Below are 16,932 nucleotides of genomic sequence, written 5' to 3' on the forward strand. Positions count from 1 at the left end.
AACATAATAAATATATACAGCTTTGTAATCTTAAAGAATACTTTTTTTTTTTTTTTTTGAGATGGAGTCTCACTTGTCACCCAGGCTGGAGTGCAGTGGCACGATCTTGGCTCATTGCAAGCTCTGCCTCCCAGGTTCACGCCATTCTCCTGCCTCAGCCTTCCAAGTAGCTGGGGCTACAGGCACTCGCCACCACGCCCGGCTAATTTTTTGTATTTTTAGTAGAGACGGGGTTTCACCATGTTAGCCAGGATGGTTTCGATCTCCTGACCTCGTGATCCGCCCGCCTCGGCCTCCCAAAGTGCTGGGATTACAGGCATGAGCCACCGCACCCAGCCAGAATACATTTTTAAAAAGTAATCACATTCAGAAATAGTAGTGACTGAGTCTGGGCTAGAATATTGAATTTAGTGTTCTGTCTTTCAGACTGTTGTTCTTTACACAGGTATATCACCTGGGAAGTTGATGGTGTCACTGTATGTCACTATACTGTATTAAAATACAGCAATTCGGCTAGGCGCGGTGGCCCACACCTAAAATCCCAGCACTTTGGGAGGCCAAGGCAGGTGAATCACCTGAGGTTGGGAGTTCAAGACCAGCATGGCCAACATGGTGAAACTCTGTCTCTATTAAAAATACAAAAATTACCTGGGTGTGATGGCACGTGCCTGTAATCCCAGCTACTCGGGAGACTGAGGCAGGAGAATCGCTTGAACCTGGGAGACAGAGGTTGCAGTGAGCTGATACTGTGCCGTTGCACTCCAGCCTGGGCGACAGGGCAAGACTCCGTCTAAAAAAAAAAAAAAAAAACAGGCCGGGCATGGTGGCTCACACCTATAATCCCAGCACTTTGGAAGGCTGAGGCAGGTGGATTACTTGAAGTCAGGAGTTTGAGACCAGCTGCCCAACATGGTGAAACCTCAACTCTATTAAAAATACAAAAATTAGCTGGGTGTGATGGCAGGTACCTATAATCCCAGCTACTTGGGAGGCTGATGCAGGAGAACTGCTTGAACCCAGGAGGCTGAGGTTGCAGTGAGCCGAGATCACACCACTGCACTCCAGCCTGGGTGACAGAGTGAGATTTCATCTTAAACAAGCAAACAAAAAAAACCCCAGAAATTCTGCTTTCAGTTTTTCTTTTCTTTTTTTTTTTTTTTGAGACGGAGTCTTGCTCTGTCGCCCAGGCTGGAGTGCAGTGGCGCAATCTCGGCTCACTGCAAGCTCCGCCTCCCAGGTTCACGCCATTCTCCTGCCTCAGCCTCCTGAGTAGCTGGGACTACAGGCGCCCGCCACCACGCCCAGCTAATTGTATTTTTAGTAGAGACGGGGTTTCACCATGTTAGCCAGGATGGTCTCGATCTCCTGACCTCGTGATCCGCCCGCCTTCAGGCTCCCAAAGTACTGGGATTACAGGCGTAAGCCACCGCGCCCAGCCTGCTTTTAGTTTTTCTTAGCATGGAAGCAACTGGTAAAAGAGAAATAATTAAATCTATGTAGGTAAAAAGCTAGAGATTATCATTTTACTATGTTGCTATTAAGAATATGTATATGTGGGCTGGGTGTGGTGGCTCACACCTGTAATCCCAGCACTTTGGGAGGCTGAGGCGGGTGGATCACTTGAGGTCAGGAGTTCAAGACCACCCTGGTCAACATGGTGAAACCCCATCTCTACTAAAAACACAAAAATTAGCCAGGCATGGTGGTGGGTGCCTGTAATCTCAGCTACTCAGGAGGCTGAGGCAGGAGAATTGCTTGAACCTGGGAGGTGGAGGTTACAGTGAACTGAGATTGCGCCACTGCACTCCGGCCTGGGCAACAGAACAAGACTTGGTCTCAAAAACAAACAAACAAAGAATCCGTGTATGTTATGCATTTGGCTATAAACAAATGGTAGTAAACTAGAATGAGTGTATTTACTATTATGCCCTTTGCAGAGAATCCTAGTTCCCAGCACTGTTGTGTTTATTTTATGAAGTCACAAGAGGATGAAGTTAGTACTTCTAACATTTTTATTCTAAGCTTTTCTACTATTGTACAACATTTGTATTTTACTAATATGCACTTTATTAAATGAACTGATTTTTTTGGTATATTATCAGAATATTTTAAATTAAAGTTGCTTCAGTAAGATTTCTAAAATAAAATTGAATTTTGGGTAATTTAGTGTTATTATTGAATTTTTGCTCTGAATGAAATGTGATTTTGAAAAAAAATTTCTATCTCTTCACTTTTTTTTTCTTTTTCCACTAATAATAGCTGTAGTAGGACAGGACCTTGCTGGGAACCTTCAGTAAGTTGTCCTTTTCTTTCTCAAACTTCCCATGCATGTCGTGGTGTCTAAATCGTATTTCCAAGAATTTCTTAATGTCAGTCCTTGCCAGGGCTGACTTCACCTTGACTTGTACTTTACTAAGTGCATTGTCCTGGAAATTGTCCTTTGCATCCCATGCCTGTGTCACTCAATGAATGCTTCCCTCACCAACACCTGAAACGGCCTTTTATAAAGAAGATTTTCTTCTAGTTTTATTTTGTCTTTTGAATGAGTTTGACTTAAATGCCAAAACTATTTTGTTTTGTGGGACAGGATTTCAAGTACAAATGACATACATCTTATCAGTTTTGGAATTGGTTCTTGAGAGCATCATTAACATTTTCATCTTATTGAGCACATATTATGGACTTGGTATCATTTGCCTAATTAAGGCTTAAGTAAGATCCAAATTAAGTCCGTGGAATAGTTTGTTGTATCTTGTTGTTTTGTTTTTTTAAAGTTTGTGCAAAAGCTGGCATTTTATGTTTAACATATTAATTTTATGGAGGCATTATTTAATTTTATAGATGTAAAATTGAGAAATGTGTTTAATCCTTAATTACTATTTATGATATCCTGAAAATGAGTTAACTTATATTTCTTTGAATATGTATTCTTAGAAAAGTAGTACTGGCTGGGCGTGGTGGTGCATACCTATAATCCCAGCACTTTGGGAGGCTGAGGCAGGTGGAACCCCCGAGCCCAGGAATTTGAGACCAGCCTGGGCAACATGGCGATACCCCCCATCTCTACCAAAAATACAAAAAATGAGCCAGGTGTCGTGGTGTGTGCCAGTAATTCTGGAGGCTTACGCAGGTGAATTGCTTGAACTTGGGAGGCGGGAGGTTGCAGTGAGCCGAGATGGTACCACTGCACTCCAACCTGAGTGACAGAGTGAGACCTGGTCTCAACAACAACAAAAAAGAAAAGTAGTACTTTGTTTTTTTGTTTTTCTTTTTTTCTTCCCTCCTCCCCACACTTTGTTTCCTTTTATAGATGTTTTAGAAGAAAACAGCTATTTTTGTAACTTCTGTAGGAAAGTAAGAAGTCTTTGTCTTAAATATGCCTAACTTTCTACCAACTAGTCATTATATTGGAACAGAATTTTTATTTCTAAACAAAGGGTCATGATCAGATTGATCATCTCATGAAATAGCACCTTAGGAAGGCACCATTCAGATTTTAGTCTTAGGATTTGTCTAACACTTATACAAAACAGCCCATTAAATACCATCTCTGCTAGGAGCCTCACAGGGCTTGGGGAACATTCCTGCTGAAGGATAGCCACATAACCCATTTAGAATCTCCTTATTACAGTGTTATGGGAATATCAGGATACCATTCTGTTTTCAGTAATGGGTAGGAACAGAACATTACCTGATTTCTCAACTCTTGAGATCAAATATGATACCCAGTTGTGTTATTTAAGTTGTATGAGATACCCATTTGCTGAATATCTGTTTGGATAAGTTTCTGAACTACAAAGGGAAGTACAAAAATCTTCCCTTTGATCTTATACCTTGAGAATTTACTTACTGAAGTTCATGCTTTTTTCCTCATCTGACTACAAATTACTTCCACTACATGCAAATTGGTATTTTGAAAGCCTTTTTATCATAATTTCATTATTAGGTTTATTTGTTTTTGTTTTTGTGGAAGGCAAGATTTTAAAATTTCTATTTTTTGAGACAGAGTCTCACTCTGTTGCCCGGGCTGGAGTGTGGTGGTGCGATCATGCCTCACTGCAGCCTCTGCCTCCTGGGTTCAAATGATTCTCCCACCTCAGCCTCCCAAGTAGCTGTGACTACAGGTGCATGCCACCATGCCTAGCTAATTATTTTGTATTTTTAGTAGAGACAGGTGTTTTGCCATGTTGCCCAGGCTCGTCTCAAGCTCCTGGGGCCTCAAGCCATCCGCCATCTTGTCCTCCCAAAGTGCCAGGATTACAGGCGTGAGCCACCGCACCTGGCTGAATTTAAGGTGCTTTAGATACTCGATGTTCTTAGTACTTTATTGTTAACATGTTTTTGGATTTTGGTTTTTTTTTGTGACCGAGTCTTGCTCTGTCGCCCAGGCTGGATTGCAGTAGCGCAATCTCAGCTCACTGCAACCTCTACCTCCCATGTTGAAGTGATTCTCATGCCTCAGCCACCCTAGTGGCTCGGGTTACAGGCGCCTGCCACCACGCCCAGCCCTTAAAATGTTATTTTTAATGCTACTTTATTAAGTTGATTAGATAATTATACCAGGAGAGTACACATACCAACAACTGATATGTTTAAAGTTTTATTCATAATATTACATTAAAGATATTTTAAACTTTCAACAATGTTAGTATTATGTGTCACATGATATATTTTGTGTTTAAGGAAGAGGCATTATTTAAGTATATCTTCCAAAAGTTTGACTTGGCAATGATGGCATTGAGGAGGTTTGAACAATGCATGAGTCCCAAGGGTAACCTTTTTGATAAACATATTAATGACTGAATCTCTTTGGCCTTTTCATTTTTTCCTTAATTAAAAAGTGTGGATTGATTATTTTTCTTTTTTATTTAAACCTCACTCATACTTTTAGTAAGTATTAATCTGATAACTTTATTTAAAAATTATTATTCGTTGACTTTTTGACTCAGGCATTATTATATGTATAACAAAATCTAAATTTAACTCAGTTATCTTTTTTGTTTTTCAAGATAAATTTCAAGATATCCTGCTTGTCTTTTCTTTTTCTTTTTGAGACTGTCTCACCCTGTCACCCAGGCTGGAGTGCAGTGGTGCAATCTTGGCTCACTGCAACTGCCGCCTCCCGGGTTCAAGTAATCCTCCCACCTCAGCCTCCTGAGTAGCTAGGATTACAGGTGTGTGCTACCACGCCTGGCTAATTTTTTTGTATTTTCAGTAGAGATGGGGTTTCACCATGTTGGCCAAGCTGGTTTCGAACTCCTGACCTCAAGTGATCCGCCTGCCTTGGCCTCCCAAAGTACTGGGACTGTAGGCAGGAACCACTGCACCTGGCTGTCTTTTTTTTTTTGTATTTATTTCAAAATATTCTGTTTGCATCCATGTTAAGTTTAGGTAGAGAATTCTGTTCTGCTGTTTGTTCTTTTGTTCTTTAATGCTTTTACTTAAAATTTAGGGGATTTAAGGAGTTTTAAAAAACATTTTCAACATTATAATATATACATATATAAAAACATTGAACAAAACAGCTATATAATAGCCATTTAAAAATATTCCTGGATTTAGCTCAAGTTGGTCTTTTGCTTGTTCTTTTTTTTTTTTTTTACCCCCGAGACAGAGTCTTGCTCTGTCACCCAGGCTGGAGTATAGTGGCACGATCTCGGCTCACCGCAACCTCCACTTCCCGGTTTGCTTGTTCTTATACCCCCCGCCTACACATACCTTTTAAAATCTCTTTAGAAAAAAGTGGTTTCTCATGCTTAGATTCAAAAATTTTTCTTAATTTTCTAGGATAGTTTTTTAAAAAATCAACTTATAGGCTGGGCACAGTGGCTCACGTCTGTAATCCCAGCACTTTGGGAGGCTGAGGCAGGCCGATCACAAGGTCAGGCGTTCGAGACCCGCCTGGTCAACATGGTGAAACCTCATCTCTACTAAAAACACAAAAATTAGCTGGGCATGGTGGCGTGTGCCTGTAGTCCCAGCTACTCAGGAGGCTGAGGCAGAAGAATCGCTTGAACCCGGGAGGCGGAGGTTGCAGTGAGCCAAAGATAGAGCCACTGCACTCCAGCCTGGGCGACAGAGCTAGACTTTGTCTCAAAAAAAAAAAAATCAACTTATAAAATGAAAACTGAATAAAGTTATAGTTCTGAGATTGTCATATACTATTAGGCAACAATATGATTATGACTATTAATCATGGAGACCTTCAGTGGAAGAGTTAGAAACCACTCATGTGTTTTTAACACCAGAGCTGACGATTTTCCTTTAGGTGAGTAAAAAAAATTTAACATTTTGGTGCCATCTTTGGTGAAGAACTTTCCCTATTTATAACTTACAGATTAACAGCCATGCAACAGAATGGAGTCCCAGCCACCCAGGAGAGGATGCAGTGGCGTCTTTTGCTGATGTTGGATGGGTAGCCAAAGAAGAAGGAGAGTGTTCAGCAAGACTAAGGTTAGTTTGGAAGGCTATCAGAACTGAGATGCAATATCTATTTTTTTAAAGAATGATATTATTTGCAGTACTTATTTTTAATAGCCTAATTTTATCTCTAGTAATGCACCCTCTTCTTTTTCTTGAACAGTCTTCTTTTCTGTTTATTTTCCTTTTTTTCTGAGATTGGGTCTTGTTCTGTTTTTCAGGCTGGAGTGCAGTGGTGTGATCTTGCTTCACTGCAGCCTTGACCTCCCAGGCTCATGTGATTCTCCCACCTCAGCCTCCCAAGTAGCTGGGATCACAGGCATGCACCACCAACCCTGGCTAATTCTTTTTTTTTTTTTTTTTTTTTAGATAGAGTCTTGTTCTGTCACCCACGCTCCAGTGCAGTGGCGTGATCTCGGCTCATTGCAACCTCCACCTCACAGGTTCAAGCGATTCTCCTGCCTCAGCTTCCTGAGTAGCTGGGGCTACAGGCACGCACCACCACACCCAGCTAATTTTTGTATTTTTAGTAGAGATGGGGTTTCGCCATGTTAGCCAGGCTGGTCTTGATCTCCTGACCTCAGATGATCCACCCGCCTTGCCCTCCTAAAGTGCTGGGATTACAGACGTGAGCCACCACGCCCAGCCTATTTTTTACTTTTTTTGTAGAGATGAGTTTTCACCATGTTGCCTAGGCTAGTCTGTTCGTTTTCAAGACTTGACTAGTATTTATAAAGTTTTTAGAGACATATAATTATGTCCTAAGTCCTCATTGACAGAATTCTTTGTCCTTCAGCAGTTTACATTCTAATGTAAGAGACCAGAAACAATGATCATTAATTTTTAGATAAGTACAGTAATTATAATGGTCTCATTGGGGCAAAGGGATCAATCTGGATCATAGTAGAGAATTTGTGTAATTGGAGAATGTTTCCTAAAAATTTTGAGTCAAAAGGAGATTAAGAAGGAAATCAGTTGATACTGTAAAGTCTACAAAGTAATTACAGATGGTCACTGCAGGATGAGAGATGTTCAGCAAGACTTCTCAGGAGGAAATGCTAGAGCTCCATCATGAGGGCTGAGTGGGAGCCAAGTAAATGGAAGGCTGGTATTCCTGGAAGAGTAAAGAACTTGTTTAAAGGTAAAACCAGGAGACATTGTGGCATGTTTGGGAACTGCCAGATGGCTCAATGAGACTAGAGAGCAGAAAAGAAGGATAAGCTGTGGGAGATGAGGACGAGAAGTAGGTAGAGGTTTGAAGGTCTTACACGTGACTCTAAGAAACATAGAAAAGTTCACGTTTGTGGAAAGCAATATAGAACCTGAAAGCAGTGTGGAACCATGGAAGAAATTTGAGCACTAGTAAAATCAACATGTAAACAGTATGAAGAATAGAAAAGAGCCAGACCAAGAAATAGACCAACTAGGAGATGATCAGAATTTAACTGAATTAAGAAACTGGCAGAAGAGGTTCAAAGCCAAGTGAGATTCATAAGAATTAAAATGACATAGAAACTTATTAGATATGGAGATTAACGAAGGAAGAGCCTACGTAGTCAGAGTCTAGTTATCCTAAATTCTCAGGTTTCCATGTAGGATAATTATAAGGATGGTGAAACAATTTTTTTTTTTGTTTTGTTTTTGAGATGGAGCCTCACTTGGTTGCCCGAGTGAGGCTGGAGTGCAGTGGTGCGATCTGGGCTCACTGCAACCCCCACCTCCCGGGTTCTATCAATTCTCCTGCCTCAGCCTTCCGAGTAGCTGGGATTCCAGGTGGCTGCCATGATGCCCAGCTGATTTTTGTATTTTTAGTAGAGACGGGGTTTCACCACGTTGGCCAGGCTGGTCTTGAACTCCTGACCCCAGGTGATCCACCTGCCTTGACTTCTCAGAGTGCTGGGATTATAGGCGTGAGCCACCGCACCTAGCTATAATGTATAGGAATATAGGAAAACAGATTGTTTTGGCTGGGGGTAATAAGAGAGGGTAGTCTAGTCTGGAATATATTATGTTTGAGTTTTCTGTGAGATATTCACCTTGATCTAGAAACAGTTTATGTGAATGGATATTGGTAAGGAAGGCCTATACTCTATAACATTTAGATAGAACGGCTGAATATGAGAGTGCCCAAGAAGCATGTATAGAACGTGAAGAGCATTTGTACCCTGAGTGAAGCCAGCATTTTGAAGTTAAAGGAAAGAAAAAGCCTCCTCCCCCATCACCCTCCCCAACCCCAACCCATCACCCAAAGAGCTAAGCGGCAGGAGAAGACCTGGTAGAGGGTATTGTTATGGAAGCAGAGGAGGTAGAGTTTTTATTGAAGAGGAGTAGTGATCAGTGTCAAATACTTAGAGGCTGGGTAAATAGAAAAACTAGCAAGTTTCAATTTTGTTTTTCAGTTGGAAGATTATCATTGACTTCAGCAAGAGTAATTTCATTTGAGTAGTATTAGCTGGATAAAATAAGAATAAAATAAGAGCAAACAAGGAATTTGATTTGAATGACAAATAGAAATAAGGACATAGCAGTAGATAAACACAGGGATTGCAGGATTAGCAGGTAAAGAGCCTTTCTTTTTTAAGATGTTTATTTTATTTAAACTTTTTATTTTGAGATAATTGTAGATTCTTCACATGCATATTTATAAGAAACAATACAGAGAAATTCCCCATGCTTTTCACTCAGTCTCCTTCAATGGTAACATCCTGCAAAACTATAGTACAATATCACAGCAGGGTATTGATGTTGATAAGTCAAGATGCAGGACATTTCCATGCTACAGAGATCCTCCAGTTGCCCTGTTATAGCCACACATACTTCTCTTCCATCCCCAACCTCAACTCCTTCTTAATGGCTAGCAACTACTAATCTGTTCATTTTAACTATTTTATCATTTAAAGAATGTTACATACATTGAATCATGTAATATGTAACTTTTTTTTTTATTTTTTTGAGACAGAGTCTCACTCTGTCACCCAGGCTGGAGTGCGGGGATGCAGTCTTGGCTTACTGCAACCTCCGCCTCCTGGGTTTAAGCAATTCTCCTGCCTCAGCCTCCCAAGTAGCTGGGGTTACAGGTATGTGCCACCATACCTGCCTAATTTTTGTATTTTTAGTGGATACGGGATTTCACCATGTTGGCCAGGCTGGTCTTGAACTCCTGACCTCAAGTAATTCATCTGCCTCGGCTTCCCAAAGTGCTGGGATTACAAGTGTGAGCCACCGTGCCTGGCCAATATGTAACCTTTTGGGACTGGCTTTTTTTTTTTTTTTTTTGAGACAGAGACTCACTCTGTCACCCAGGCTGGAGTGCAGTAGTGCGATCTCAGCTCACTGCAACCTCTACCTCCTAGGTTCAAGTGATTCCCCTGCCTCAGCCTCCCAAGTAGCTGGGATTACAGGCGCCTGCCTCCATGCCTAGCTAATTTTTGTATTTTTAGTAGAGACGGAGTTTCACCATGTTGGCCAGGCTAGTCTCGAACTCCTGACCTCAGGTTATCTGCCTGCCTCAGCCTCCCTAAGTGTTGGGATTACAGGCGTGAGCCACCGCGCCTGGCCAAACAAAGGTGTCTCTCCAAGTCGGAATCAAACCAGCACCTAAGAATGGCCACGGGCGTGCACCTACAGTCCTCCGCTCTACCAGCTGAGCTATTGAAGAGGGCAGGACTGGCTTTTTAAACTCAGCATTATTCTCTGGCTATTCATCTAAATTGTTGTGTGCATCAAGAGCTTGATCCTTTTTAATTGCTCAGTAGTAGTCATTGGTATGGATGTATTACAGTTTGTTTAATCATGCAGTAGTTGATGGACATCTAGGTTGATTCCAGTTTTTGGCTGTTAAAGAAAGTTAGTATATAAACATTTGTGTATAGGTTTTTGAGTGACTGACTATAAGTTTTCATTTTTCTGGGATAAATGTCTATGAGTGCAGTTGCTGGGTCAAATAGTAGTTACTTAGTTTTTCAAGAAACTGACAAGCTGTTTTCTAGAGCCTATTTCATATCCCTCTGGCAGTATATGGCTAATTCAGTTTCTCTGCGTTATTTCCTTAATAGCTAATGATGTTAAACATCTTTTTATGCCATATGTGTATTCTTTCAGGTAAAACGTATCGTGTCTTTTGCTTATTTTCTAACTGGATATTTTTAAGATTTCTTTGTATATTCTAGATATGAATCCTTGTCACATATATGGTTTATAAATATTTTCTCCTACTCTGTGGCTTGTCTTTTCATACATTTAATGGGGTCTTTCATGGAGCAAAAGTTTTTCGTTTTGATGAAGTCTAATTTATGTATTTTTTTATTGATCGTGCTTTTGGTGTCAAATCTAAGAGCTCTTTGCCTAGCCCTAGATCCTGAGACTTCTTTTTCCCTAAGAGGTTTATAGTTTTATATTTTACATTTGAGTCCATGATTTTTTTTTTTCTTTTTTTTTTTTTCAGAAGGATCTGGCTCTGTCACCCGGGCTGGAGTGCAGTGGCATGATCATAGCTCACTGTAACCTCTGCCTCCTGGGCTCAAGCGATCCTCTCACCTTAACCTCCTAAGTAGCTGGGGTTACAGGTGTATGCCACCATGCCTGGCTGTTTTTTGTAAAGATGGGTTTTCGCCATGTTGCCCAGGCTGGTCTCAAACTCCTGAGCTTAAGCGATCCGCCCACCTTAGCCTCCCAAAGTGCTGGGATTACAGGTATGAGCCACTGTGCCCAGCCTTAAATTCGTGATTCTTTTCAAGTTAATTTTTTCATACAGGTTGAGCAACCCTAATTTGAAAATCCAAAATCAGAAGTGTTCCAAACTCCAAATTTTTTAAAAATGGAATTAAAAAAAAACTTTTAGGTTCGGGGGTACATGTGCTGGTTAGTTACATGGGTAAATTGCATGTTATGGATGTTTGGTGTACAGATTATTTCATCACTCAGGTAATAAGCATAGGACTCAATAGGTAGTTTTTTGATCCTCACCTTCTACTCTCAAGTAGGCCCTGGAGTGTGTTGTTCCCTTCTTTTTTTTTTTTTGAGACAGAGTTTCACTCTTGTTGCCCAGGCTGGAGTGCAATGGCACGATCTCGGCTCACTGCAACCTCCACCTCCTGGGTTCAAGCGATTTTCATGCCTCAGCCTCCCAAGCAGCTGGGATTACAGGCGTGCACGACCACGCCCACCTAATTTTTGAATTTTTAGTAGAGACAGGGTTTCACCATGTTGGTCAGGCTGGTCTCGAACTCCTGACATCAGGTGGTCACCTGCCTTGGCCTCCCAAAGTGCTGGGATTATAGGTGTGAGCTACTGCGCCCAGCCGTTCCCTTCTTTTTGTCCATGTGCACTCAGTGTTTAGCTCTCATTTACAAGTGAGAACATGTGGTATTTGGTTTTCTGTTCCTGTGTGAGTTTGCTTAGGATAATGGCTTCCAGCTCCATCCATGTTGCTGCAAAGGAATGATCTCCTTGTTTTCTGTGACTGTGTAGTATTCCATGGTGTCTATCTACCACATTTTCTTTATCCAGTCTACCACTGATGGACATTTAGGTTGGTTCCGTGTCTATGCTGTTGTGAACAGTGCTGTGATGAACACGTGTGCTTGTGTCCTTTTGGTTAGAATGATTTATTTTCCTTTAGGTATATACCCAATAGAGGGATTGCTGGGTCAAACAATAGTTCTCTTTTAAGTTCTTTGAGAAATCTTCATATTCCTTTCCACAGTGGCTGAGCTAATTTACATTCCCACCAGCAGGGTATAAGTATTCCCCTTCTTTGCAACCGCACCAGCATCTCAGGCAGTGGGCAGGGCCATAAAGCTCCCAAGCAATTATGTCCTTTGTCTCTGGAGTTCCTCAGCTTTCCCACAGAGCCTGTAGCTGCAATCCACCTCCTTCAAAGTGTCTGTGGATTCTCTGGCTTTCCTGGTATGTTCCTGCAGTAGTTCTTGGAGCAAAAGTTCACCATGTGGATCTCTACACGCTGCTCTGTTTGTCCAAGTGGGAGCCGCAAGTTAGTCCTGCCTGCTCTCTGCCATCTTCCCCGAATGGAATCTACCCTTCTGTGTTTATAACTTACAGTTTAAGTCCCTATAGAAACAAATTCTATTTAAGACTGTTCATATGTTGCAGTTTGTTTTTCTGCCTCTCATATTTATATTTGTATGAAAGCTGAAGCTCTTCAATATATTTCTTCCTTGAAATTTATGTTGATGACATTTCTATAACAATTATTTATAATGTCATACTATTATGTCTCCAGGAAAACAGGATACATATGAGTCTTTCATAATTGGTTATTATAGAAATGATTTTTTTCAAATGCACCGAACTTGAGATTTTTATTTATAAACTAGAAGTACAGGCCGAGTGTAGTGGCTCATGCTTATAATCCCAGCACTTTGGGAGGTCGAGGTGGGTGGGTTGCTTGACCCCAGGAGTTCAAGACGAGCCTGGGCAACATGGCAAAACCCCATCTCTACAAAAAATACCAAAATTCGCTGGGTGTGGTGGTACACACCTGTTGTCCTTGCTACCTGAGAGGCTGAGGTGGTAGGATTGCTTGAGCCTGGGAGGTCAAGGCTGCAGTGAACCATGAATGCACCACTGCATTCCAACCTCAGCAATGGATCGAGACCTATCTTAAAAAAAAAAAAAAAAAGAAAAAAGAAAACAAAAAAAAGGGCAGCATATTTCTGTGGAATAGAAGTATTCTACTTTGAGAAGAGAATTTTCAATAACATGAGAAAACTGTTAGTACAGTGGCATGCACAAAGTAAGGCCTCATTGTTTTTTCTCTTTTCTGTACACATTTTCATTTCCTTTTTAACTAACAGAAGCATTGACATCCTGATAACTGATAATCTCATCTAAGATAATGTGTTCTCTTTCATAGTAGTATTCTAAGGAGAACGTATAGTCTGTGAAAGGAAAATAAACCTTGGGACTCCCAAATCACTAAGCCAAAGGGAAAAGTCAAGCTGGGAACTGCATCAGGCAAACCTGCCTCCCAAAGCTTTGCATCAGAGCAAAGCTGCCTCTGTAGCTATGTAAGATAGCTACATTATAAAAAAGCTACATACCTCTCTTACAATTTGCCTGCTAGGAAATTCCTTGTGGGCCCCAAGATCCTTACCCTAAAACAGTTCTGCTAAATTTGACTCTGACAATGTGAACTGATAGCTTTTCTTCACAGGTATTGGAAAAGGACGGAACTCAAAAGTTACCCCTCTGCTCACCTGAGACAAATGCATATCTGATTGCTTCCTCTGCCCTATGTTTATTTTATGTAAAAATGCAGATTTACTGAACTAGAGGAATGCCTACGTGACTATTCCTCTACTGCCCCTCACATGTGAACAGCTGATCAGAGACTTAAAAGAATGTAAACTTTTGTCTCTTATCTACCCCCACCTTTTAAAAATTTCTTCCTCTTTCTCTAATATCTGCCCTTTCTCCTTTAAATATTGAAGCCCTCAAAATCATCTTTGGAGAAAGGCACTGATCTGTCTCCCAGGTGCACATCTTTAACCTTGGTAAAATAAACTTCTAAATTGTTTGAGACCTGTCTCAGATACTTTTTGGTTTATAAGTCTTTGGATAAATATACAGTATAACATTTGTACTGTATGATGAAATTAAAGACTGTAATCTCTGAAGCCTTTAGTTGACATCATAGACATTGTCATCAAGCGTTTGATTGGTTCCAAAGTAGAAGAGCAGCTAAGGAGTTTTGAAATATTTCAAGTTTAATTTGTTCATTCTATATTAATATATTAATTTCTAGTTGTATCCAGTTCTTCTGTAGAGTGTCACAATATCAAGCTCACTTACTAAATACAAATTTATAGGTTCATAGGGCTTAAAAATGTTTCGGATAGCTGTTTTCCTTATCCTAGGATGCTTGCAATCTAATGAGGAAGATGAACATACTTATAAAAGTCTGTAATATAAGGATAGTGAATAAAGTGAGACTGAGGTGATGATATCCAGCTTAATTTTTCAAGTGTCAGCATGAAGTATAAGATGGAATGTGCTGTTTTTTAAGGAGTGTCAGGGAAGATCCCCAACCTCTTAGAGGGTGACAGAGTAGCAAGAGTCCATAGGAAATACTTAACAAGCAAGCAGGCTGGCTCCACAGTGCCAGAGGTGCAAGAGTAGGCCAGGAGACTCGGTGGATCAGAGCAAGGTTTCCTACTCACAGCACATCAATCTGCAGATGTTACTGGTTTCTATTTTATTCTTCATTACTTGACAGTAGACATGAACTGATAAACATATGTTATTAAAATAGTATATTCAAGGGAGAAAGATTATTTTTGTTAAATACCACTTTTAGGAAGATTGAACTTCTGAAATATAAAACAACAGAAGGGTTGTGTTGAACAGAGCCTAAAACAGCTAATGAGGGAATCCCACTAGTTTTCTAGGTCTGTAGCCTACAACACTCCTGCCTGTTCCCACTGTAGATTTCTCATGGATTGCTTCCTCTGTCAAAATGATTTCCCATTCTGGTTGTCTTTATCCAGCCACTTGCCCACTTTGAAAAGACTGTTAGTTTTCTTTTCTTTGTTTCTTTTCTTTCTTTCTTTCTTTTTTTTTTTTTTTTTTTTGAGACAGAGTCTTGCTGTGTTGCCCAGGCTGGAATGCAGTGGCATGATCTTGGCTCACTGCAACCTCCACTTCCCGGGTTCAAGCGATTCTCTTGCCTCAGCCTCCCAAGTAGCTGGTATTACAGGCACCCGCCAACACACCCAGCTAATCTTTGTACTTTTAGTAGAGATGGGGTTTCACCATGTTGGCCAGGCTGGTCTTGAACTCCTGACCTCAAGTGATCCGCCTGCCTCAGATTATTCGTTTTCTACCAACTTTATATTTCAGGAAACTAAATTACCAGTTTTTTTTCCCTGGATTCTAGGACAATAGAGTATGTTTTTTTACCTTTCAAGGTTGTTCTGTAAACTAAAAAGATGAGGGAGGGTCAGTAGAAATCATTTTGGGAATAGGGCACATCTAATTTAAAACTGTGTCAGATTTTGAGTTTCCCTTACCTGTGAGATGAGGGGACAGGACCCCAGAGGTGTATTATATTTAACTTAGGGTTCTTTGATATGGGTGAGGAGCTAAAAAGGCCTTTGCATTTATGTAAATTGTGCTACAAAAGTGGCTTCCCTTGACAGTAACAAGGAAAAAAGAGAGCTAGATAATTCAGTGTAGTGTTATTCTAAGTAAGAACCTGTGTGCCTTAGGGAATTTTGGACCCAATATAAACAAAATATAACCAAAACAAATGAATGAAACCAGTAGAAATCTCACTAGCAGAAATTGGTATCCAGAAAATGGTTTTAAGAAACATCAGTTAACTGTTAAACGTTTAAGGTAATGGAAAAAAAAAAAAAGGAAAGGAAGAAATATCAGGCCTGCATAATATATAATCCCAACACTTTGGGAGGCTTGAGGCCAGGAGTTCATGACCAGCCTGGGCAACATTGTGAGACCCTGTCTCTTAAAAAAAAGAGAAAAGAAAAAAATTAGCCAGGCATGGGTGGCACGCACCTATAGTCCTAGCTACTCAGGAAGCTGAGGCAGGAGGATCACTTGAGCCTAGGAGTTGGCAGTGTGGGTAACAGAGCGAGATCCTGTCTCAAAAAGAGAAACATCACCCTTTGGCTGTTTATCTTCTGTTTTTGGTACATCCATGCTTGATGTCTCTGGTTTTTTTTTTTTTTTTTTTTTTTTTTTTTTTTGAGATGGAGTCTTGCATTGTCATCCAAGCTGGAGTGCAGTGGCGTGATCTCGGCTCACTGCAACTGCCGCCTCCCAGGTTCAAGTGATTCTTGTACCTCAGCCTCCCAAGTAGCTGGGATTACAGGTGCCTGCCACCATACTCAGCTAATTCTTGTATTTTTAGTAGAGACAGGGTTGCACCCTGTTGGCCCAGGCTGGTCTTTAACTCCTGACCTCAGGTGATCCACCCACCTTGGGCTCCCAAAGTGCTGGTATTACAGGTGTGAGCCACCCCACCTGGCCTCTTTGTTATTTTTGTTTTTGTATTTGTTTTTATTTCTTAAAATTTCTATGAATTACAAAAATTCTTGCAAGAGTCTATCCTTATTTTGGATTTATTCTGTCTTTGTAATCTAGTTCTTAATAGCCCTCTGTTCTTAAGGATAGCAAAACAGATTGGTTTTAAGAATGAATGGTTTGTTGACTGTCTTAAAAAATAACGCAGGGCTCGGTGGCTCATGCTTGTAATTCGAGTACTTTGGGAGGCCAAAGCTAGAGGATCCTTTGAGCCACGGAGTTATACCAGCCTGGGCAACATAGGGAAACCCTATCTGGGCTCTTAAACCTTCATAGGTCCTATAATTACTATGTTTGAGCCCATAAATATTAAAGTATTTCACATAAGGAAATGCTGAATTATATAATTAAAGACAGAAAAGTAGTATAAAGTACAGTTCTTCACTGTTAATTAAATTGTTTTGTCAAAGGTCCTAAACTTTTTTGCTCTTACCCTGGCACAATAGTGTT

General features: G+C 40.6%; 1 protein-coding gene across 30 annotated transcripts in view; it reads left to right on the top strand.

Annotated features, from left to right (window-relative positions):
• Positions 1 to 16,932, top strand: part of MTFR1 (mitochondrial fission regulator 1) — a 134,710-nt gene that overhangs the window by 43,418 nt on the left and 74,360 nt on the right. For 25 of the 30 annotated variants that reach the window (NR_182101.1, NR_182102.1, XM_006716484.3 and 22 more), the window contains one exon: positions 6,338 to 6,453. The exons of 1 other annotated variant lie outside the window; for it this stretch is intronic. Coding sequence is in view for 26 of the 29 variants with exons in the window: in XM_006716484.3 (XP_006716547.2) it covers positions 6,338 to 6,453 (116 nt within the window). In the remaining 3 variants the exon portion in view is untranslated. Of the gene's footprint in view, positions 1 to 2,259; positions 2,294 to 6,337; positions 6,454 to 16,932 lie in introns of all 30 variants that reach the window. 4 more of the 30 variants (NR_182100.1, NM_001413079.1, XM_011517628.3 and 1 more) reach the window with 1 other exon arrangement.

The sequence above is a fragment of the Homo sapiens genome, chromosome 8 (genome assembly GCF_000001405.40).
Source record: "Homo sapiens chromosome 8, GRCh38.p14 Primary Assembly".
Classification (NCBI taxonomy): Eukaryota; Metazoa; Chordata; class Mammalia; order Primates; family Hominidae; genus Homo; species Homo sapiens.